A 26,298-nucleotide genomic window follows, 5' to 3' on the forward strand; every position below is an offset into this window, starting at 1 on the left:
ACAGAATCGAACTAATTCCTAACCAGTTAAATTTTTTAAATTATGTTATTTCAATAAATAAGTGAAACAGGTGGTGTTTGGTTGCATAGGAAAGTTCTTTAGTGATGATTTCTGAGATATTGGTGCACCCATCTCTTGAGCAGTGTACACGGTACTCAATGTGTAGTCTTTTATCCCTCACACCCCTCCCACTCTTCCACGTAAGTCTCCAAAGTCCATTATATTACTCTTAGGCCTTTGCATCCCCATAGCTTAGCTCCCACTTACACGTGAGAACATACGATGTTTGGTTTTTCATTCCTGAGTTACTTCACTTAGAATAATGGTCTCCAACTCCATCCAGGTTGCTGCAAATGCCATTATTTTGTTCCTTTTTAAGGCTGAGTGGTGTTCTATGTTGTGTGTGTGTGTGTGTGTGTGTGTATATATATATTATATATAATACTACTATATATAATACATAATACTACTATATATACTACTATATATTATATATAGTGGTATTGTGTATATATAATATATAATATATAATAATATATAAATACGTAATATTTATAATTATTTATATATTTATATTATGTATATTATACATATATACTATTATATATATTATACATATACACTATTACTCCTGCAATAGTGGCCATAATTTAAGAATAAAAAAAATAGATATTGACATGGATGTGATGAAAAGAGAACAGTTTTACACTGCTGGTGAGAATGTAAACTGGTACAACCACTATGAAAAACAGTATGGAGATTCCTTAAAGAGTTAAAAAGTAGAACTACCGTCTGATCCAGGAATCCCACTGCAGGGTATCTACCCAGAAAAAAATAAGTTATTACAGGAAAAAGACACTTGCACATGCAATGTTTATAGTGGCACAATTTGCAATTGCAAAAATACGGAACCAGCCTAAAAGCTCATTGACCAATGAGTGGATTAAAAATATGTGGTGCATATATATATATATATATAGACACACACACACACACACACACACACACACACACACACACACATATATATACACATATACACACACACACATACACACAATATGGAATACTACTATATATATAATATATATAGCTTGGATTACAGGCGCATGCCACCACGCCCGGCTAATTTTTGTGTTTTTAGTAGAGATGGGGTTTCACCATGTTGGTTAGGCTGGTCTCGAACTCCTGACCTTGTGATCACCTGCCTCGGCCTCCCAAAGTGCTGGGATTACAGGCATGAGCCACCATGCCCGGCACATATATCTTCTTTTAAGAATTGTCTATTCATGTCTTTAGCCCACTTTTTGATGGGACTATTTCATTTTTTACTTGTTCATTTGTTTGACTTCCTTGTAGATTTTGGGTATTAGTCCTTTGTTGGATGCATAGTTTGTGAATATTTTCTCCCACTCTGTGAGTTGTCTGTTTACTCTGCTGATGATTTCTTTTGCTGTGCAGAAGCTTTTTAGTTTAATAAGGTCCCATCTATTTGTTTTTGTTGCATTTGCTTTGGGGTTCTTGGTCGTGAACTCTTTGCCGAAGCCAATGTCTAGAAGATTTTTTCCAGTGTTATCTTCTAGAATTTTTATGGCTTCAGGTTTAGATTTAAGTCTTTGATCTAACCAGTTAATTTTTAATCTTATTAGCTCTTTACTAATTAAGCATGCCATTTAAAAATTAATGAATATGAGTATTTAGATTTTTCAATATTCTTGTGCAACTGATAAGAAAGACTTATTGACATACCTTATAGAAAGAAGGAATTTATTGTTTTCTTAAGAAACCATCATTTTTCTAACTGTCATTTAGTACAATGTGTTATATTTTGAATCATTGATGTAGAGATGAAGACATGCAAAGTTTGGCTAGTTTGATGAGTATGAAGCAGGCTGACATTGGCAATTTAGATGACTTCGAAGAAGATAATGAAGATGATGATGAGAACAGAGTGAACCAAGAAGAAAAGGCAGCTAAAATTACAGGTTGGTTTTATTAGCATTAAACTAAAAGTTTATCTTTTGTTGCAGAGTTCAAAAACTCATTCTCATTTCCCAGGAAAAAACAATTCTACTTATTGGGTTTCTTTTTTTTTCTTTAAGCCTTTCTACAATAAAATATACCATTTAGTTCTCTGACAACTTTCCATGCTGTTTATAATAGATTTTAGCAGTTTGAGATCAAGTACAAGGATGGTCAAAATAACAAAAAACATTCTTGAATTATAATACAAAGCAACCTAAATCTGGTCATACTTATTTTGTCAATGTGTGAATGAAACCTCTGTAAGTAAAGATCTGCCTGTAAAGGATAATAGGACACAATAAGGAGATGGATTGGCCAGCTGCTTCTATTTCATATTCATTTATTTACTTGAATTATGTGGACATTCTGTGTTTTGAATTTATATATCTTATGTATCCTGGTATTGAAGCTTCCATGCAGGTATTCCTTCAAGCTGAGTTGATCAAGCTACTAAGATGTTAAGTGGTTAGAACTTCTTTTTATTAATTGGTCAATAAATATTTATTGACAATTTGGCTATCACACTTAAGCAATTGATGTCATACTTCTATTATTGCTGTGAAAATTAAGCACAATTTACATATTCCTTTTAGTTAAATTAATTGCTCTCAATTTCTGAATTGATGTCCCTTCACTTCTATCATCTGTTTACCTCCTGGTGATTTTTTCAAATTCATTTGGGCACTTTGTTACTCATCTTTTGGTTCTGCCTCAACTCTTGCTATCATGTGGGGGATTTCCATTTACTCCATGGATCACTCATTTAACTACTCAGCTAAAAAGTTATGTGACTTCCTTGACTCTGAAGACCTTCACTTCCATTCCACAACAAGAAATCTATCATAAGGAACTGCTCAGACTTGTGTGCAAAATTAGATGTTTTTTCATGTGTAAATTTTATTATTTTCTAATTTGTGATTGCAATTTTGATTTATTATTTGGCCCAACCATGTTTTGGAGAGTGTGTTTTACCATGTGCTTTGTTTATTTATTTCTAGTTTGTTTGCTTATTCATTCAAATAAAATTCAAAAGTCTCTTGAATTTCAAATGTTTTAAAAATATTATTGAGGTTTTTTATTTGTAGTCTAGATATGTGATTTATACATTTTCTAGAAATATGTTTTTACATGTATATTCTATTTGTCGCATTCATCATTAGACTCAACTTCTCATTACAGGCATAGTTTGTTTTACTGAACTTTGCTTTATTGCACTTCACAGATTTTTTTTTCTTTTTTCTTTTTTTTTTTTTTTTTTTACAAATTGAAGATTTTTGGCAACCCTACATTGAGCAAGTCTATCAGCTTAGTCTGTTTAGTCTATCAGTCTTACCAACAGCGTGTGCTCACTTCGTTTCTCTGTGTCTCTGTGTCATTTTGGTAACTTTTGCAATATTTCACACTTTTTCATTATTATTATATCTGTTATAGTGATCTATGACCAATGATCTTTGATGTTACTATTGTAATTATTTTGAGGTGCCATGAATTGCACCCATTTAAGACAGCAAACTTAATCAAGTGTGTTCTGACTGATCCACCAACTAGCTGTTCCCTGGCTCTGTTCCTCTCCTTGGGCCTCCTCGTTCCCTGGGACATAACAATGTTGACATTAGGCCAGTTAATAACCCTGCAATGCCTATGGGTGTTTAAGTGAAAGGAAGAGTTGCATGTATTTTCCTTTAAATAAAAAGCTAGAAATGATTAAGTTTTGTGGGGAAGGCATGTCTAAACCAAAGATAGGCCGAATGCAGAGGCCTCTTGTGCCAAACAGTTAAACAAGTTGTGAATGCAAAGAAAAAAATTCTAGAAGGAAATTAAAAGTTCTACCCCAGTGAACACAGAAAAGATTTAAAAAATGCATAAAGCCTTATTGCTGATACAGAGAAAGCTTTAATGGTCTGGATAGAATATCAAACCAGCCATAGCATTCCCTTAAGCCAAAGCCTAATCCAGATCAAGGCCCTAACTCTGTCCAATTCTGTGAAAGCTGAGAAAGGCGAGGAAGCTGCAGAAGAAAAGTTTGAAGCTAGCAGAGGTTGGTTCATAAGGTTTAAGGAAAGAACCCATGTCCATAACATGAAAGTGCAAAGTAAAGTAGTAAATGCTAATATAGAAGCCACAGCAGGTTATCCAGAAGATCTCACCAAGATCATTGATGAAGCTGGCTACATTAAACACTGATTTTCCATGTAGACAATACAGCCTTCTATTGGAAGAAGATGCCATCTAGGAATTTCACAGCTAGAGGGACAAAGTCAACACCTGGCTTCAGAGCCTCTAAGCTTCAAACGACAAGTTAACTCTCTTGTTAGCACATCTTTTTATCGCGTGGTTTACTGAATATTTTAAGACCATTGTTGAGACCTGCCGTACAGAAAAAAGATGCTTTCCAAAATACTACTACTCATTCCTTTTTAGTACACTCCCTGAAAAAACAACACCACTGCTCATTGACAGCGTACCTGGTTGCCCAAGAGCTGTGATGGAGATGTACAAAGAGATTAGTGTTGTTTCTGCAGCACATAGTTCAAGGAGTAATTTTGGCTTTTGAGTCTTATTATTTAAGAAATACATTTTATAAGGTGTAGCTGTCATAGGTAGTGATTCCTCTGATGATCTAGGCCAAGTCAATTGAAAACCTCTTGGAAAGGACTCACTGTTCTAGATGCCATTAAGAATTTTGTGATTCATGGGAGGAGGTCAAAATATCAACATCAACAGGAGTTTGGAAGACAGAAGAGGCTGATTCTGATCCTCATGGCTGACTTTGAGGGGTTTAAGACTTCAGTGGAGGAAGTAACTGCAGTTGTGGAAAAATAGCAAGAGGATCAGCATTGGAAGTGGAGCCTAAAGATGTAACTGAATTGCTGCAATCGCATGATAAAACTTGAATGGATGAGGAGTTGCTTCTCTGGATGAACAAAGAAAGTAGCTTCTTGACATGGAACCTACTTCTGGTGAAGATGCTGTGAACGTTGTTGAAATGACAACAAAGGATTTAGAATATCACATCAACTTTGATAAAGTAGTGGCAGGGTTTGAGAGGATTTATTTCAATTTAGAAAGAAGCTCTACTGTCAGTAAAATGTCAAACAGCATTGCACGCTACAGAGAAATTTTTAATGAAAGGAGGATTCAATTGATGCAGCAAACTTTGTTGTTGTCTTGTTTAGGAAATGGCAACAAGTATTTTAAGGAATTACCCAACCTTCAGCAACCACCACCCTAATTAATCAGTAGTCATCAGCATCAAGGTAGACCCACCAACACCAAAAAGATTATCACTTACTGAAGGCTCAGATGATTGTTAGCATTTTTTAATTAAGGTATATATGTTGTTCTTAGACATAATGCTATTGCACACTTAATAGACTATAGTATAAACGTAACTTTTATATGCACTGGGAAGCCAAAAAGTTTTTGTGACTTACTTTATTGCAATATTCACTTTATTTTAGTGATCTGGAACCAGACTAGCAATATGTCTGAGATTATACCTGTACAGTTGAGGCTGGAACAGCATGGATTGAACGGCATGGGTCCACCTATACAATATGTTTTTTCAGCCAAACACATGGAAAATACAGCATTCACAGTGTACAAAGCCTACATACATATGGAGGGCGCACTTTTCATATATGTGGGTTCGGAAGGGCCTGCTTTGGGACTTGATGTATGGATTTTGGTATAGACAGGGTTCCTGGAAGCAATCTTCCATCTCCACGAAGGGATGACTGTATATGTATCTTTTTTTATAGTTTATTTTTTTAAAGACAGAAAACTTCACTGCTAATTATTTATTCTATAAAAGTTTATTCTCTTAAAGCCTCATTATAATTTGTATCAGTTTGCCCCATTTAATGCCTCTTGCCTTGAAATTTTGCCTGTTGATATTTGTAAACAATGGTTTTTTTAGATTTTTATTTTCTTGGCATATTTGTCACTTGATTTTTAACCTATCTGTGTTATTTTAAGTGCTTCTTTTATATACAGCATTTGGTTGATTTAACTTTATAAGCTTTGCCCTTCAACTGATATACTTAAATGTATTTATATTACTTTATTTATACTTTTATTTTGGGGCTTTTCTTATTTTTTCCACCCATCCCTTACATGTTGCTTTTCTTAGATTTTCTGTATTTAAACATTTTTCATAGAGTAACTTAGAAGGTATATAACCTAGTTTCATTTTAGGCTGGTATTCTCTCTAATAAATAAATAAGCCAGACAAAGAAATGAGTAAACTTTTATTTCTCTACTTACATTAAAAATAAAGCGGGGGAGGAGCCAAGATGGCCGAATAGGAACAGCTCCGGTCTACAGCTCCCAGCGTGAGCGACGCAGAAGACGGGTGATTTCTGCATTTCCATCTGAGGTACTGGGTGCATCTCACTAGGGAGTGCCAGACAGTGGGCGCAGGCCAGTGGGTGCGCGCACCGTGCGCGAGCCGAAGCAGGGCGAGGCATTGCCTCACCTGGGAAGCGCAAGGGGTCAGGGAGTTCCCTTTCCGAGTCAAAGAAAGGGGTGACGGATGCACCTGGAAAATCGGGTCACTCACACCCAAATATTGCGCTTTTCAGACCGGCTTAAAAAACGGCGCACCACGAGACTATATCCCACACCTGGCTCGGAGGGTCCTACGCCCACGGAATCTGGCTGATTGCTAGCACAGCAGTCTGAGATCAAACTGCAAGGTGGCAGCGAGGCTGGGGGAGGGGCGCCCGCCATTGCCCAGGCTTGCTTAGGTAAACAAAGCGGCCCGGAAGCTCGAACTGGGTGGAGCCCACCACAGCTCAAGGAGGCCTGCCTGCCTCTGTAGGCTCCACCTCTGGGGGCAGGGCACAGACAAACAAAAAGACAGCAGTATCCTCTGCAGACTTAAATGTCCCTGTCTGACAGCTTTGAAGAGAGCAGTGGTTCTCCCAGCACGCAGCTGGAGATCTGAGAACCGGCAGACTGCCTCCTCAAATGGGTCCCTGACCCCTGACCCCCGAGCAGCCTAACTGGGAGGCACCCCCCAGCAGGGGCACACTGACACCTCACACAGCAGGGCATTCCAACAGACCTGCAGCTGAGGGTCCTGTCTGTTAGAAGGAAAACTAACAAACAGAAAGGACATCCACACCGAAAACCCATCTGTACATCACCATCATCAAAGACCAAAAGTAGATAAAACCACAAAGATGGGGAAAAAACAGAACAGAAAAACTGGAAACTCTAAAACGCAGAGCGTCTCTCCTCCTCCAAAGGAACGCAGTTCCTCACCAGCAACGGAACAAAGCTGGATGGAGAATGACTTTGACGAGCTGAGAGAAGGCTTCAGACGATCAAATTACTCTGAGCTACGGGAGGACATTCAAACCAAAGGCAAAGAAGTTGAAAACTTTGAAAAAAATTTAGAAGAATGTATAACTAGAATAACCAATACAGAGAAGTGCTTAAAGGAGCTGATGGAGCTGAAAACCAAGGCTCGAGAACTACGTGAAGAATGCAGAAGCCTCAGGAGCCGATGCGATCAACTGGAAGAAAGGGTATCAGCGATGGAAGATGAAATGAATGAAATGAAGCGAGAAGGGAAGTTTAGAGAAAAAAGAATAAAAAGAAATGAGCAAAGCCTCCAAGAAATATGGGACTATGTGAAAAGACCAAATGTATGTCTGATTGGTGTACCTGAAAGTGATGGGGAGAATGGAACCAAGTTGGAAAACACTCTGCAGGATATTATCCAGGAGAACTTCCCCAATCTAGCAAGGCAGGCCAACGTTCAGATTCAGGAAATACAGAGAACGCCACAAAGATACTCCTCGAGAAGAGCAACTCCAAGACACATAATTGTCAGATTCACCAAAGTTGAAATGAAGGAAAAAATGTTAAGGGCAGCCAGAGAGAAAGGTCAGGTTACCCTCAAAGGGAAGCCCATCAGACTAACAGCGGATCTCTCGGCAGAAACCCTACAAGCCAGAAGAGAGTGGGGGCCAATATTCAATATTCTTAAAGAAAAGAATTTTCAACCCAGAATTTCATATCCAGCCAAACTAAGCTTCATAAGTGAAGGAGAAATAAAATACTTTACAGACAAGCAAATGCTGAGAGATTTTGTCACCACCAGGCCTGCCCTAAAAGAGCTCCTGAAGGAAGTGCTAAACATGGAAAGGAACAACCGGTACCAGCCGCTGCAAAATCATGCCAAAATGTAAAGACCATCGAGACTAGGAAGAAACTGCATCAACTAACAAGCAAAATCACCAGCTAACATCATAATGACAGGATCAAATTCACACATAACAATATTAACTTTAAATATACATGGACTAAATGCTCCAATTAAAAGACACAGACTGGCAAATTGGATAAAGAGTCAAGATCCATCAGTGTGCTGTATTCAGGAAACCCATCTCACGTGCAGAGACACACATAGGCTCAAAATAAAAGGATGGAGGAAGATCTACCAAGCAAATGGAAAACAAAAAAAGGCAGGGGTTGCAATCCTAGTCTCTGATAAAACAGACTTTAAACCAACAAAGATCAAAAGAGACAAAGAAGGCCATTACATAATGGTAAAGGGATCAATTCAAAAAGAAGAGCTAATTATCCTAAATATATATGCACCCAATACGGGAGCACCCAGATTCATAAAGCAAGTCCTGAGTGACCTACAAAGAGACTTAGACTCCCACACATTAATAATGGGAGACTTTAACACCCCACTGTCAACATTAGACAGATCAACGAGACAGAAAGTCAACAAGGATACCCAGGAATTGAACTCAGCTCTGCACCAAGCGGACCTAATAGACATCTACAGAACTCTCCACCCCAAATCAACAGAATATACATTTTTTTCAGCACCACACCACACCTATTCCAAAATTGACCACATAGTTGGAAGTAAAGCTCTCCTCAGCAAATGTAAAAGAACAGACATTATAACAAACTATCTCTCAGACCACAGTGCAATCAAACTAGAACTCAGGATTAAGAATCCCACTCAAAGCCGCTCAACTACATGGAAACTGAACAACCTGCTCTTGAATGACTACTGGGTACATAACGAAATGAAGGCAGAAATAAAGATGTTCTTTGAAACTAACGAGAACAAAGACACAACATACCACAATCTCTGGGACACATTCAAAGCAGTGTGTAGAGGGAAATTTATAGCACTAAATGCCCACAAGAGAAAGCAGGAAAGATCCAAAATTGACACCCTAACATCACAATTAAAAGAACTAGAAAAGCAAGAGCAAACACATTCAAAAGCTAGCAGAAGGCAAGAAACAACTAAAATCAGAGCAGAACTGAAGGAAATAGAGACACAAAAAGCCCTTCAAAAAATCAGTGAATCCAGGAGCTGGTTTTTTGAAAGGATCAACAAAATTGATAGACCACTAGCAAGACTAATAAAGAAAAAAAGAGAGAAGAATCAAATAGACACAATAAAAAATGATAAAGGGGATATCACCACCGATCCCACAGAAATACAAACTACCATCAAAGAATACTACAAACACCTCTATGCAAATAAACTAGAAAATCTAGAAGAAATGGATACATTCCTCGACACATACACTCTCCCAAGACTAAACCAGGAAGAAGTTGAATCTCTGAATAGACCAATAACAGGAGCTGAAATTGTGGCAATAATCAATAGTTTACCAACCAAAAAGAGTCCAGGACCAGATGGATTCACAGCCGAATTCTACCAGAGGTACAAGGAGGAACTGGTACCATTCCTTCTGAAACTATTCCAATCAATAGAAAAAGAGGGAATCCTCCCTAACTCATTTTATGAGGCCAGCATCATTCTGATACCAAAGCCGGGCAGAGACGCAACCAAAAAAGAGAATTTTAGACCAATATCCTTGATGAACATTGATGCAAAAATCCTCAATAAAATACTGGCAAACCGAATCCAGCAGCACATCAAAAAGCTTATCCACCATGATCAAGTGGGCTTCATCCGTGGGATGCAAGGCTGGTTCAATATACGCAAATCAATAAATGTAATCCAGCATATAAACAGAACCAAAGACAAAAACCCCATGATTATCTCAATAGATGCGGAAAAAGCCTTTGACAAAATTCAACAACCCTTCATGCTAAAAACTCTCAATAAATTAGGTATTGATGGGACGTATTTCAAAATAATAAGAGCTATCTATGACAAACCCACAGCCAATATCATACTGAATGGGCAAAAACTGGAAGCATTCCCTTTGAAAACTGGCACAAGACAGGGATGCCCTCTCTCACCACTCCTATTCAACATAGTGTTGGAAGTTCTGGCCAGGGCAATTAGACAGGAGAAGGAAATAAAGGGTATTCAATTAGGAAAAGAGGAAGTCAAATTGTCCCTGTTTGCAGATGACATGATTGTATATCTAGAAAACCCCATCGTCTCAGCCCAAAATCTCCTTAAGCTGATAAGCAACTTCAGCAAAGTCTCAGGATACAAAATCAATGTACAAAAATCACAAGCATTCTTATACACCAACAACAGACAGAGAGCCAAATCATGAGTCAACTCCCATTCACAATTGCTTCAAAGAGAATAAAATACCTAGGAATCCAACTTAAAAGGGATGTGAAGCAACTCTTCAAGGAGAACTACAAACCACTGCTCAAGGAAATAAAAGAGGATACAAACAAATGGAAGAACATTCCATGCTCATGGGTAGGAAGAATCAATATTGTGAAAATGGCCATACTGCCCAAGGTAATTTACAGATTCAATGCCATCCCCATCAAGGTACCAATGACTTTCTTCACAGAATTGGAAAAAACTACTTTAAAGTTCATATGGAACCAAAAAAGGGCTTGCATTGCCAAGACAATCCTAAGCCAAAAGAACAAAGCTGGAGGCATCACACTACCTGACTTCAAACTATACTACAAGGCTACAGTAACCAAAACAGCATGGTACTGGTACCAAAACAGAGATATAGATCAATGGAACAGAACAGAGCCCTCAGAAATAACGCCGCATACCTACAACTATCTGATCTTTGACAAACCTGAGAAAAACAAGCAATGGGGAAAGGAATCCCTATTTAATAAATGGTGCTGGGAAAACTGGCTAGCCATATGTAGGAAGCTGAAACTGGATCCCTTCCTTACACCTTATACAAAAATCAATTCAAGATGGATTAAAGACTGAAACATAAGACCTAAAACCATAAAAACCCTAGAAGAAAACCTAGGCATTACCATTCAGGACTTAGGCATGGGCAAGGACTTCATGTCCAAAACACCAAAAGCAATGGCAACAAAAGACAAAATTGACAAATGGGATCTAATTAAACTAAAGAGCTTCTGCACAGCAAAAGAAACTACCATCAGAGTGAACAGGCAACCTACAGAATGGGAGAAAATTTTCGCAACCTACTCATCTGACAAAGGGCTAATATCCAGAATCTACAGTGAACACAAACAAATTTACAAGAAAAAAACAAACAACCCCATCAAAAAGTGGGCGAAGGACATGAACAGACACTTCTCAAAAGAAGACATTTATGCAGCCAAAAAACACATGAAAAAATGCTCATCATCACTGGCCATCAGAGAAATGCAAATCAAAACCACTATGAGATATCATCTCACACCAGTTAGAATGGCAATCATTAAAAAGTCAGGAAACAACATGTGCTGGAGAGGATGTGGAGAAATAGGAACACTTTTACACTGTTGGTGGGACTGTAAACTAGTTCAACCATTGTGGAAGTCAGTGTGGTGATTCCTCAGGGATCTAGAACTAGAATTACCATTTGACCCAGCCATCCCATTACTGGGTATATACCCAAAGGACTATAAATCATGCTGCTATAAAGAGACATGCACACATATGTTTATTGCGGCATTATTCACAATAGCAAAGACTTGGAACCAAGCCAAATGTCCAACAATGATAGACTGGATTAAGAAAATGTGGCACATATACACCATGGAATATTATGCAGCCATAAAAAAGGGTGAGTTCATGTCCTTTGTATGGACATGGATGAAATTGGAAATCAGCATTCTCAGTAAACTATCGCAAGATCAAAAAACCAAACACCGCATATTCTCACTCATAGGTGGGAACTGAACAATGAGATCACATGGACACAGGAAGGGGAATATCACACTCTGGGGACTGTGGTGGGGTGGGGGGAGGGGGGAGGGATAGCATTGGGAGATATACCTAATGCTAGATGACGAGTTAGTGGGTGCAGTGCACCAGCATGGCACATGTATACATATGTAACTAACCTGCACAATGTGCACATGTACCCTAAAACTTATAATAAAAAAATAAAAATAAAAAAAATAAAGCAAAATTTATTGACTCTCTTCTTGTAGAATGAGAGATGCAGTATGATTCTCTTCTTTATTTAAACCCTTCCCTCCAACCCCATTGGCTATTATGTTTATTTCAATAACATTTTGCTAATTCTTTTCAATAGTATATACTGACATTTGCATTTTATTTTATAATGATGGCAGCAATAATTTTTTAAATGTGATATCTTTCCCATCTTTGAGTTTTGGCTTCTTTTCTTTTTTCTTTTCTTTTCTTTCTCTTTCCTTTCTTTCTTATTTTGGTTATTTGGCTATCTGGAGTATTTCCAGAAGAATAAGTGGGTGTCTTTCCCCTAGTACTACCACTCACCTTCTACCTTGTCTTAGTTTGCTTGGGCTGCTGTAACAAAATACCTTAGGTTGGGTAATTTGTAATCAACAGAAATTTATTGCACACAGTTTTGGAAGATGGGAAGTCCAATATGAAGGAGCCTGCATATTTGTTATCTGGTGAGAGCCTGTTCCATGTAATGGTGCCCTGTATGTGTCTTCATGTGAAGGAACAGCAAAGAAAAGGGACAAGGGACCAAGGGACAAACTTGCTCCCTCAAAGCCTTTTTTTTTTGAGACAAGGTCTTGCTTTGTTGCCCAGGCTGGAGTGCAGTGACACAGTCTCGGCTCACTGTAACTTCCACCTCCCAGGTTCAAGGGATTCTCCTGCCTCAGCCTCCCGAGTAGCTGGGATCACAGGCGTGTGCCACCACACTCAGCTAATTTTTGTATTTTTAGTAGAGATGGGGTTTCAGCATGTTGGCCAGGCTGGTCTTGAACTCCTGACCTCAGGAGATCCGCCCGCTTTCCTCCCAAAGTGCTGAGATTATAGGCGTGAGCCACCGCGCCTGGCCCTTAAAGCCTTTTATAAGGGCAATAGTATTATCCACGAGGGCAGATCCCTCATGAACTAATGATCTCTCCGTAAGCTCCACCTCCTAATACCCTCACCTTAGGGATTAAGTTCCAACATAGGAATTTTGGGGGGACATTGACATTCAGACCGTAATATACCTATCCTTCAAAATTTAATTCACTTGTCACATAGTCTGAGAAGCCTTTGATGCCCCCTGCCTCTTAAGCTTGACCATTCCATCCTTTATGGTACTACCATATACAAATGTAGGCATTTTCCTATAGACTGAGTTTTTATAATTCCAGTGGGTTATTAATTGGATCTTTTTAGTTAGAGAATATGGTGTATTATTTATAGATGGCTTTTGATTAAAACTAAATCTCAATTAGATACGGGTACTTTTAAGTAGGAATTTTTAAAGCCACACATTTGCAGTTGTTTTGAGCAGTATTGTGCTATTTTGATCACAGCAGTGGGAGAAAAAATGATAATATGTTACAGTTTCTACACTAGTATTGAAAGGAAGAGTGAGAACAGTAGTTTTTTAAGGAAAATATAGATGTAATGATTCAATAATTATTAGATTTCATAGCTAAACCCTTGTTGATTAAACATATACTATTCCTTATTTTCTAAAATTCCTGCAAGAGCAGTAATTTTCTTTTAGACAGTTTAAAATTCTCTGAATCTAATTGAAGAAATTGTTTTGAGGCAACTTTGGATGCCTCTATTTTGTGTTATTTACATTTTTTATATTTTATGAAATTCCCTGAAAATAGAAACTATGTTCTAATCATTTTTTCATCTCTAGCTTCCAGCACATTATCTGAAACATATTAGGAATTGAATATATCTTAACTGAAAGGCCATAGTGAATGAATGAAGCTTCATTCTCTCTGGCTTATCTTGTTCCATTTGACGTTTAATCACATAGTATCTTGTACAGGGTAGAGTGGTTCCATTTTATGGAAGGAATATGTTCTGGAGGGCACACATAATTGAAAGCTCAGTAATTCAAAACTAGTTTTCTAAAAGGAATGAATGTAAATTGTGTGTGTTGAAGAAGAAGGGGTGGGTGGGGCAGTGGGTGTCTAGATGTATGTTCTAAGTCCTAATAAATTCACAATCATTGTAGCATATTTTTTATTTGATATTACAGTTTTTTTCTTGTCATTTTCTATTATGTTTGCAGAGTATGGTAACCTAAATTAATAGCACAGCATATTATGGCAGTTGTTTGGCTTTCTTAGTTGTATTTTTGAACACATGTAAATCCCATTCTAAAGTTACTAACTTTCAGGGATATATTTTTTTAGCAACAGCACGACCACTTTAAAAGTGTTTGAGTGAAGTAGTTTTAGCAAATAAAAGGTTTATTGAAATTTAATGCATTAATGTTAAAATAATAGCTCAAGAAAACAAAATGGACATATTTTATAAGCATGGTTACAAATAAAGTATGGTAAGTATTTTTATTTACCAGCAAAAGTGGCAATAACTTAAATACAGTTTGTATTAACTCTTCCTTCCAAGTTTGAAATTGTTATTGACACAGTTTTTATGGAGGAATTATTATTTTAAATTGTTCCTGTTAATTATATCTTAATATTATAATCTAAATGCATAAAGTGCAATTGCATTATATCACTAAAAATTATATTGAATGTATTGTTTCTCCAACAAAGCTCAGAATTTCTTGAGGGAACAGACTGTTAACAATTGTGTACCTCTTAGATTGACATCTCACGGTTATTCATGTAGTGAGTAATTTCTTATGGAAAGTTGCTGTTAAATTAGCAGTATTTGACAAAACATATCCTCCAAAATTACAGTCTTTGCTAGGAGGTGAAAGTAAATCCATGGTATCTGTACTTGCACTGATCAAAAATCCCTACACTGTTCTGAGACAGACTCCCCTGCTAAATAGATACATATCTGGGGACTAGCTCTCAGGCAGGAACCATTTATTGATGCTACTTCTATAGATACATTTTACTGAGGTACAGCACCAGTGAATAGGCAGGAGAATTTTGAATTACAGTTGGAAAAATCACTGAAATGTAGCAGGAGTGATAGACCTTGGAGCTGGAGAAAAAATGCCTTTTAATAGAAAGCTTGCTGCAGCCAGTAGTAGAAATTATGAAACCATATGGTTTCAGAACAATAAATACTGGCAGTCACACAGTGCTTGAGCCAGTATTTGGCAGTATGATCATCTTTGGAATTCATGTTGAATTTCTGAATACACACCAACAGGAAGAAAAATAAAGACCCCTGTATTGTAAAGACAAGGCCCTGATGAATACATCACAGAAAATCAAGTTCAACTGAAGCAGTTTACAGTAAGCATTGTTAAGAGAACTCAGACATTATGAGGCTCCTGAAAGACCCCTGATATTCTTAAAGTTTGTTGTGTTGCAAAGATCACCATGGGGTCTACCTAAAATCAGCTGGACATTCAGATTCATTCGCATGACCTACATAGGCCAAGCAGTGTTAGATTGACTTAAAAGGATATTGGATAGGAAACACAGTATGCCAGCAGGGTATTCCTTTTTCACCAGAGTCTTCACAGCAATCTGAATACTGTTGTTTATCCCCTACCACCAAATGACAACTTGGGTACAAAGTGACAAGATTCAGATAGTTAGGAGCAGGGATTGCTTTGTCTTAAAATCCCCATGCAACACAAGAGCAGATTATCTTTTTTTTTTTTTTCCTTTTAATACCCTAACTGGTCTGAGCTAATACCTTTGTACCAGTCTCATGGGTACAGTTTCCAAGGTTCCTATAAGGGACATGCACATTTATAAGAGTCTCTACATTCAAAGAAGCTAAAACCTGTGGCCTTACACCAGCTATATAATTCATTCAGAATCTTCCCATCCAGATGCAATTTGTCAATCAGGTTTGATTTTTACCATAAGCAATGTTTCCTGGTGTTTGTTAATCCTTTTCCCATAGTTGATAAAGTTAATTTGGGAGAAGGAAGAGAGAGTGACATATTTGGCTACCTTCAGGGAACAAAATCTAACAGCACAGATGGTAGTAGAGGAGATACCAATTACATATTAAGGAGCTAGAGTTGATGATGGTATGACTCAGCCCTCTGAGATTAAATTCTACTTACTAGGGCTATGAATGGAGATAAGTAGGTATCCCACCTTTTATTAGAAGGTTCCTTAAAATAAATATGGGACTCTGGTCAGAGAGTAGGACCATTAATTTGCTCCTGGTTTTTACCTGGCATCCACCCACCAGTACCTAGGCATCTCGTGAACAAAATCATAGGATTGTTATGGGCTCAATTAAAAAAAAAAAAAAAAGATTAGCCAGGCTTGGTGGCATGCGCCTGTAGTCCCAGCTACTTGGAGGTTGACATGAGAGGATCGCCTTAGCCAAAAAAAATTTTGTTTAAATAAAAATTAATTAAAATGGCCACCTATTTTGGAGGTCAGTTAAAAGGATGAGAATATCTGGAAAACTGCCTCTGTTATGTAGTCACTAAGGTTGGGAATAGGAGGAAAGCAGAGAGGTAGGGCAATTCTGATCCCTTTAGCCAATAAGTTTATAAGGTATCATAGCTACCTTATTTTTAAAGGAGTTTGAAACCCTAGGATGAGAGACTGACGTCATCAGGAATATATCTTTGCAGTCTTAGAACTCAAATATGTCAACTCAGAGAATAGTAACAGTAGCAGAAAACACAGACTATAAATTCAGCTTGCTTTCTCTGTCACTCTTAAATGCTAATGCTGCTTTATTTGTACTTATGACACTAAACATAATCTAGCTTCCCTGACTTCTGAGGCTCTGGGAGAATTCTACTGATGCTGAGAACCCATCTGACAGGGCTTGGATGGGAACGAGGGCTCTAAAAAAGAAGTCAGAAGCCTTCCAGTATTTAGGGGAGGAGCCAGAAGGCAATTAATATTCAAAGTACCTATATGAGTTCACTAAGGATTTATCCTAGGAATTCAAGGTTAGTTTAACCACATTAATAAAGGAAAAAAATTATATAGTCAATTCAACAGATGCAGAAAGGAACATTTGACAAAATTCAATGCCAAGTTTCTTAGCAAAGTTTCAATAGAAGAGAATTTATTTATTTTGATAAAGGACATTCATGAACAGCTACAGCTAACATCATATTTAATGGTGAAACATTGAATACTTTTCCCCTAAGATTGGGAACAAGGCAAGGATGTTTGCTCTTACCATTCAACATTATATTTGAAGTTCTACCAAACTCACAGGATATAAGATCAATATAGAAAAATCTACTGTATTTTTATATATGAACAACAAACATTTGGAAAATGAAATTTAAAAAATTTCATTTACAGTAGAGGTAAATAAAAAACAGACTAAGAAATAAATTTGACATAAGATGTGAAAAACCTCTGACTAAAAAGTATAATACATTACTGAAAGTAATTAAAGAAGACCTTAATAAATGGAGAGATAACCTGTGTTCATAGATTAGAAGATACAGTATTGTTAAGATATCATTTTTCCTCAAATCAATCTGTAAATCCAACTCAATGCCAGTCATAATCCTAGCAGGTGTTTTTTAAAAATAAAGAAATTCAAAAGTGATTCTAAAGTATATTTGGGGATGCAAAGTAACCAAAAGAATATTGAGAAAGAACTGAATTATAATAGTAATGCTACCTGACATGAAAATTTACTATAAAGCTGTAGTAATCAAGATAGTGTCAAATTGGCATAGGATAAATAGATCAACAGAACAAAACAAAGTCCTGAAATATACCCAAGCTTGGCCAATTAATTTCAACAAAGTTGTCAGCATAATCCAGTGGGGGAAAAGGTCTTTTCAATAAATGATGCTGAACAACTGGATGTTTGTATGGAAAAAATGAACCTCAACCCCCACCTCTCCACATACATTAATTCAGTGTGTTCATTATAATTAATAGCAAACATTAATTCAAGATAGATCATAGACCTAAATACAAAACTGTAAAATGATGAAGCTTCTGAAAAAAAGCAAAACAAAAACCTAGAAACCTGTGTTTCTGACCTCATGGTAGGCAGAGGGTTTTAACAGATGACACAGAAAGCAATAACCAGGAAGGAAAAATTTGATAGATTAAACTTAGTCAAAATTTAAAACTTACACTAATCAAAATAGATTATTTAAAAAGCTAGGCATAGTGGCACGCACCTATAGTCCTAGCTACTGGGAGGCTGAGGTGGGAAGATAGCTTGAGCTCAGGAGTTCAAGTCCATCCTCGGTAACATAGTGAGATCCTGTCTCTTAGGAAAAAAGAAGACCATTAAGAAAATGTACGAGCAAGTCATAGATTAGAAGAAAATAGTCACAAAGCATATATCTGTCACAGATCTTGTTTCCAGAACAGATTTTTATAAAAATGCCTTACAGCTAAATAATAAAAAAGACATGTGACCTTATTTTTTTAAAATGGACAAAGATTTGGACATATGGTTCACAAAGATCTATCACTAGCCAAATGGCACATCAAAAATCCATCACTTTTAATCAGGGAGATGCAAATTAAAATCACAGAGAGATACAACTCTATATCTACTAGAATGGTTAAAATTTAAAAGATTGGCACTACTAAATGTTGGCAAGGCTGTGGACCAACAAACTCTCATCCATTGTTGGTAGAATGTATAATGGTACCATCACATAATGAGTGTCTTTTTTTTTTTTTTTTTTTTCTTGAGACAGTCTCACTCTGTCACCCAGGCTGGAGTGCAGTAGCATGATTTCAGCTCACTGCAACCTCCACCTCCCAGGTTCAAGCGGTTCTTCTGCCTCAGCCTCTTGAGTAGCTGGGACTGCAGGTGTCCACCACCATGCCCAGCTAATTTTTTTTTGTATTTTTATTAGAGATGGGGTTTCACCATGTTGGCCAGTCTGGCCTCGAACTCCTGATCTCAAGTGATCCTCCCACCTTGGCCTCCCAAAGTGCTGGGATTACAGGTGTGAGCCACCATGCCCGGCACTTAGCAAGTTTCTTACAACACTGAACATACACCTACCCTCTGACCCATTTATTTACCCCAAATAAATGAAAATATATGTCTCCAAAAAGATTTGCACAAAGATATTCATAGCAATTTATTCGTAATAGTCCCAAACTGGAAATAGCTCAGGCATACATCAACAGAAGAATGGCTAAACCGTAGTATGTTCATGAATGGAATACTACTCAGCAATAAAAATGAACTATTGATATGCCCTACAACATAGATGTACCTCAAAACCATTATGCTTAGTGAAAGAGGCTTTACATAAAAGATACACTATATGATTTCACTTATGTGATGTTTTTAGAAAAGGCAAAACTATTTTAATAAACATTAAAATAGTTATAGCCTGTGGGACTGGGGATTGACTGAAAAGAGGCAAGAGAGAACTTTGGAAGATGTTGCAGATGTTACGCAGCTTGGGTCACATGGGTGTATATGTTTGTCAAAATTCATTAAATTATACAGTCTAAGATTTGTGCCTTTATGTGTATGTGTAAGTAAAATACTGGAAAGTAGCATGTAAAAATTATAGTAAATATATTAGGTTTGTAAGAAAATGAATGATTTCTAACTTTCTGATTTATTGATCTACTGTGTGGTATAGCTGGTCTCCTGACTGTGTCCTAATGAATTAATACCTCCCAATATTCATGCTCTTTTATAATCTCCTCCTTTGCAGCTTGGCTGGCCTGGTAAATCACTTTACCCAATATAATAAAATGGAAGTGACTATGTAACTTCCAAAACTAAGTTGGAAGCTGCCTTTTAGCTTCTGCTTGGTCCTCTCATAATGCATGCTCTAGGAAAAACCAGCTGTCATGTAAAAAGTTCATGTGCCCTGAGACTGCATTGCTGAGAGGAACCCCAAACTAGCCATGTGGACAGGCCACTTGGAGAGAGAGAGAGATGCTGGGCCATCTGCGAGTTGTTCTAGCCTTTTCAGCCAAGATCAAACGTGAGTAAAGCCATTTTGGACATCCAGCCCTGTCAAGCTTTCAGATGACTTCAGCCCACTGCCATCTAACTACATTGAACTACCCAGCTAGGTCCAGTCAACCCACAGAACTTTGAGAGATAATAATTTGTTGTTTTAAGTCACCAAATTTTGAAGTGGTGGCTTAAAATATAATATTTCTATAGATAAATGAAACATTATAGATACATGCATACATGCATAGACATAGAGATAGATACATAGATAAAACAGTGTATCTATAATGTAAAAATAAAGAATATTTTATATCCTCCTGCCTTTATAAGATGATGCAAAGTATTATGACTCATTCGGTTCATTCATTCATTCATTTACAACGTACATTAAGTACTAGCTATGGGCTTAAAATTGCTAGTTGTTAGAAATACAAGACGAACATGACATAGTAGCACAGCTGTTGAATTCTATTTTTAATATATTAAGTGTGTGAGGGGACTATCTATGGTCATTAGAGTAGAAGTGCCCACTAGGTAGTTGGAAATTCAAGTCTGGCACTCAGTATGTATTTGAGAATTATCTTAATTTATGTGTTTGTAGTTAAGCCAAGAGAATAGATGAATTCTTTCAAAAAAGAACAGATTTAGGGGAAAAATGGGACCTATGATGGGATCCTAGGCAGAGGGAAGAGTAATTATTATTAAAACAGACTGAGACAGAACTCTCTGTCCGAGATAGGAGGAGAATCAGGAGATGCTAGTATCCTAAAAGAGGCAATCACATATTTATGGGTTTAAGCCTGTGGAGAAAGTGACATCTTTTTTACCTTGATCTCTGCCAGAAAGTTGAAGAGTTACTATTTTAGACCATCTTAAAATAAGACATACCTGAATCTCGTTATAATTTAGAGAATAACGAAGGTACTGCAAGATTTGCAGGTATATTCTAGCCTACAGGAAGTTTTTTTTTCTTTTTACTACAGACTTTCTTAAAAGGAAAAAGCCACCTACTCGTCACTTGTCGTGCTGCCATCCCCATCCCCACCTTTTTTGTTCAATGTGATAATCTCTGGTGGTCAATTTCGATCTTCTTTTGCCTTCCTTACTGTAAGGAAGAATCTCAAATTATTTGACCCTTTGCTTTGATTGCCTGCCCCTGATTTAGTTTCTCTTCTTATTCTCATCAATGTGAAGCAGGTCCATAACTGACATACAGTTACAGGAAATATATGGGTTTATTGCTCAATTTGTATAGTAGTAGGGGAGAAATATAACATTATTAGCATTTTCCAAACGTTTTCAATTTTCTGTGAAACAAGACTTTATAAAGTAATAAAGTATTATATAAATATATTGGGTTGGGTAGTACTTTTGGTCAGGGTAGCATGTAACTGAAAAAACTTCCCATTAAAAAAATTCCAGGAATAAATTTTTGTTATAAATTTTCTTTTAAGTTAATTTTTTCCGATTGTAAAAGTAAAACATTGTAGAAAATTGGAAGAAACAGACAAGTACTTTTTTTAGAAGGAGAAATACATAACAAAATTATATATTTTAGGGTTTTGACCCACATAGCAACTGCCAATTGAAGTATTTGCATGGGAAGTTTCACCAACTGTCTAAAACTAATAGCCCAGTCTCAGTTGCTATCCACAGTCATCCAACACGCAAACATAGCACTTATCTTAGATTTCTTGCCTATCCTGCATGCCAAATTAATCATCAAATCTTCTTAATTTATTCTTCAATTAACAAGTATTTATTGAGTGCCTTCCCTCATGGAGTGGTGATGCTTTGTCTTGCTTCCTATCCTTTCTTCCCAAACGCTGCCACCATGTTGCTGCTGGAATGTAGTTTCTGAAATATGCTAGATTCCCATAACTCTCAGAATAAAGTTCAAATTCTTTAGTTTGATCACAACAACCTTCATGATAGGACAGCTGCCAGCCCCATCTAATTCCATTTCCTATCGCTGGCATCTTAAACTCCAATTTGCAGTTCTTCAAGTGTGTCATGTTCTCTTTGCCTCCCTTTGTCCTCATCCATATCCTCTTTTATTTTAATAATCATAATGTCTACTTGTCTTGTGTTAGCTCAAATGTAGATAAAAATCCAGAAAGCCCTCCTAACCTCTGAGTTATACATCTCTCTTTCAGTTAGTTTCCCGTAGCCTACAGTGCTATCTCAATGATAATGTTTATCATACAGTACATATTACTTTACTTGCCTATCTGTCCCACTAAAATATAAAGCCATGAGAGCAGGTACTAGCACAGGCATGTAATAGGTACTTGATAAATGCTTATTAAATAGATAAGTGGTTTTTTTTGGACATTGCTTTTTTATGATTTGTGCTAACATTTATTTGCAAACCAAATAAGGGAAGCATTGGTATAGAAATCAAAATTACCTTTTCACTCTGTTAATGTAAATGAAAGTTGTAGAAGCAGAAGTTCTAGGAGTGAAGTAGGGATTTACTTAAGCTAAGGATAAATGGTGGAAACTACTAGGACAGTTTGTCATTAGTGAAGAGAATGTAAAGAAGAAATTACTTTGAATTAGTTAATGAAGAAATGGCCGTAAGTGATTTTAGATGTCACCAAAAGCATGATGATGAGGAAGACATACTCTAAGCATTTGGAAAAATAATTCAGTCATGTAATAGAGTCATCTTGATAGTATTTTTTAAAATGCCGACATTATACCTAAAATTCTGTGGAACAATATTAATGTTTTGAAGGTAAAGACTAACTCTAATACTTCTTCTATATTCCCTGCGGTGCTCAAATATAACATGTTTAATAAATGATTGATTTCTTCTCTCATTAAGATTACTTTTAGGAACATAAGATAATTAAAACGTCTTAGCTATATAAAGAAAAGTGCAAATACTTGAGCACTGTGTAAACATTTTTTGACCTATTAATTGCACATATAGGAATATAGGACTAATAAATAATACTAAGATACATGATAAAATGTGGATAATAATACTTCTTTGGTTATTGATGAGAATTAGCTGATTGTGGATGCAAAGCCTTTCCTACTGCTTCATAATTAACTGCTATTATTTCTTTTTATATTTTATATTTTCATAGTTATTCATATTTTATGTTTACAAAGTTATTCCTGTGGGGCAAATAAATAATACTAATATACATGATAAAATGTGAATAATAATTCTTTTTTGATTATTTATGAGAATTAACTGATAATGGATGCAAAGCCTTTCCCACTGCTTAGTAATTGTTAGCTGCTGTTGTTAATATTTCTTTTTATATGTTCAAAGTTATTAATATTTTTAAAGTTAAAAATAAATCATTTGTAAATTTTGAAAAATGCCCAACTAGTAAAGAATGAAAAAAAAATCAGTCATGAGACTGGTAATCACTTAACAGTGATCCTACACTCCATTATATTTTTCCTAAAAATTACAAAATTACAGTGACTGCAAGAGGCAGGTAAATTATCTAATTTATGAATTAATTCTACCTACTGAGAAATTAGCTAGGTTACCTTGAGTCAGAGTACGATTTAAAACTATTGGCAAAACAAGATGGAAGAAGAAACTTTGTAAGTCTGACTATTTAGCTCCTACTGTTCAAATTGGGATTAAAAAGTTCAATTGGTATTAATTGCGTTTACTTTCTGTTTTCTATGGTTTACTTTGACTATCTCAAGCAATTTTGGTTATGCAAAATATATTTACTCATTTAGAAAAGGGAAGTTGATAAGCTTATCAACTTTTCATATATATTTTGCTGAAAGATCTATAACATACCTCTGACAGCCTAGTATTTTCATACCTGCATTCCTTGGAGATATTGTGAGTTTGGTTCCAGACCACCACAATAAAACAAATATTGCAGTAAAGCAAGTCACACACATTTTTTGATTTCCCAGTATATATAAAAGTTATGTTTACACTATACTGTAGTCTGTTAAGTGTGCAATACCATTATGTCACGGCATCTTCACCAGGAGTTGGTTCCATGTCAAGAAGCTACTTTCTTTGTTCATCCAGAGAAGCAACTCCTCATCCTTTCAGGTTTTATCATGAGATTGCAGCAATTCAGTGATATCTTTAGGCTCCACTTCTAGTGCTGGTTCTCTTGCTATTTCCACCACATCTGTGGTTACTTCCTCCACTGAAGTCTTGAACGTCTCAGAGTCAACCATGAAGATCAGAATCAGCCTCTTCCTTCTTCCAAACTCCTGTTGATATTGATATTTTGACCTCCTCCCATGAATCACAAAATTCTTAATCGTATCTAGAACAGTGAATCCTTTCCAAGAGGTTTTCAATTGACTGCCCAGATCATTAGAGGAATCACTACCTATGAGAGCTATATCTTACAAAATGTATTTCTTAAATAATAAGACTTGAAAATCAAAATTACTCCTTGAACTGTGTGCTGCAGAAACAACACTAATCACCTGTACATCTCCATCACAGCTCTTGGGCGACCTGGTGCATTGTCAGTGAGCAGTGATGTTACTTTTTTAGGGAGCATGCTAAAAAGGAATGAGTAGTAATATTTTGGAAGGCGTCTTTTTTTCTGCACAGCAGGTCTCAACAATGGGCTTAAAATATTCAGTAAGCCATGCTGTAAAAAGATATGCTGTCATCCAGGCTTTGTTGTTGCCTTTATACAGCACAGGCACAGTACATTTAGCATCATTTTTAAGGGCCCTAGGATTTTCTGGAATGGTAAATGAGCATCTACTTCAACTTGAAGTCACATTCTTCAGTATCAACACAAGTTGAAGCTACATTAGCTTCAGACTTCTTCTGCAGCTTCCTCACCTCTCTCAGCCTTCACAGAATTGAGTAGAGTTAGGGCCTTGCTCTGGGTTAGGATTTGGCTTAAGGGAATGCTATGGTTGGTTTGATGTTCTATCCAGGCCATTAAAGCTTTCTCTGCATCAGCAATAAGGCTTTATGCATTTTTTAAAAGTTTCATGTGTTCACTGGGTTAGAACTTTTAATTTCCTTCAAGAATTTTTTCTTTGCATTCATAACTTGTCTAACTGTTTAGCACAAGAGGCCTAGCATTCAGACTGTCTTTGGTTTAGACATGACTTCCTCACAAAACTTAATCATTTCTAGCTTTTCATTTAAAGGGAGAGACATACAACTCTTCCTTTCATTTGAACACTTAGTGGCCTTTGCAGGGTTTAACTGGCCTAGTTTCAATATTGTTGTGTCTGAGAAAATAAGGAGGTCTGGGGAGTGGTAGATGGGGGAACAACCGGGTGGAGCAGTCAGAATGCACACATTATTGATGAAGTTTGCCATCTTAAATGGGTGTGGTGCATTGCAGCCCAGAACAATTTAAGTAGTAACAGCAAAGATCACTCATCACAAATCACCTAACAGATATAATGAAAAGGTTTAGAATATGGTGATGATGGCAGCGGTGGGCCGTCTGGAGTGGTGGCTGTCGTCATGCCTGCTACAGCAGGGAGGCGTGGCTGAGGCCACACACTCCAAGCAGCTGGCGGGAACTGGGGACAAGCAGGAGCCCCGCCCCTTCTGAGTTGGGGCTGGAGCTCCCTGGGTGCTACTAAATCTGCCCAAGCCGTGCTGCAGACCCAGGTACCCCTCTATTCTTGGACCCTGGAGCAGGTGGGAGCCCTGCCCTCCTGGGTGCAGCTTCAGCTGCCCAAGTTGTGGCTGTGGACCTGGGCCTCCCACTGCAGGGAGCAGGCAGGAGCCGTAACCCCCCAGCACAGCTTGCCCAAACGGCGGCTGCAGACCCAGACATCCCTGCATTCTTGTGGGCCTGGGAAGGCTTCCCCTGCCCTCTCAGCCTCAGAAGTGCCTGCTTCTGCTGTCTGGCTTCTCCCTGCTATTGGCACCTGCTCCAATCTTGGAACAAAGTTGGAGCTGAGCTCGGGTGCTGTCACAGCCCGGCCAGGTGTGCACATGCTCAGGGCAGTGCTGACACACCAGCCCCCTGCCACCTCGGCAGCAGACCCCTTCTGGATTTTGGGCACCGATGAGCATAGGAGGGGAGCTGATGGGTGGCTGAGGGCAGCTCCATGCTGGCCTGCAGGCACCCATTGGCACCTACACCCTAGGCACCATGAATGGCAGCAGGAGGTAGGTTCCTGGGTAGAAGGAGGAA

General features: G+C 37.4%; 1 protein-coding gene across 52 annotated transcripts in view, besides 1 other annotated feature; it reads left to right on the forward strand.

Annotated features, from left to right (window-relative positions):
• EHBP1 (EH domain binding protein 1) overlaps positions 1–26,298 on the forward strand; it is a 372,610-nt gene that overhangs the window by 155,296 nt on the left and 191,016 nt on the right. For all 52 annotated transcript variants that reach the window (XM_047443744.1, NM_001142615.3, XM_011532718.4 and 49 more), the window contains one exon: positions 1,846–1,985. In XM_047443744.1, coding sequence (XP_047299700.1) covers positions 1,846–1,985 — 140 coding nt within the window. The remainder of the gene's footprint in view (positions 1–1,845; positions 1,986–26,298) is intronic.
• Positions 6,578–7,207: an enhancer, noted in NCBI's record as "H3K27ac-H3K4me1 hESC enhancer chr2:63062886-63063515 (GRCh37/hg19 assembly coordinates)". NCBI's record gives its function as "activates a minimal SCP1, AML or CMV promoter by ChIP-STARR-seq in naive H9 embryonic stem cells {active_cell/tissue: H9 hESC(naive)}" and the evidence as "EXISTENCE:reporter gene assay evidence [ECO:0000049][PMID:30033119]".

Source organism: Homo sapiens, chromosome 2, assembly GCF_000001405.40.
Source record: "Homo sapiens chromosome 2, GRCh38.p14 Primary Assembly".
Taxonomy (NCBI): Eukaryota; Metazoa; Chordata; class Mammalia; order Primates; family Hominidae; genus Homo; species Homo sapiens.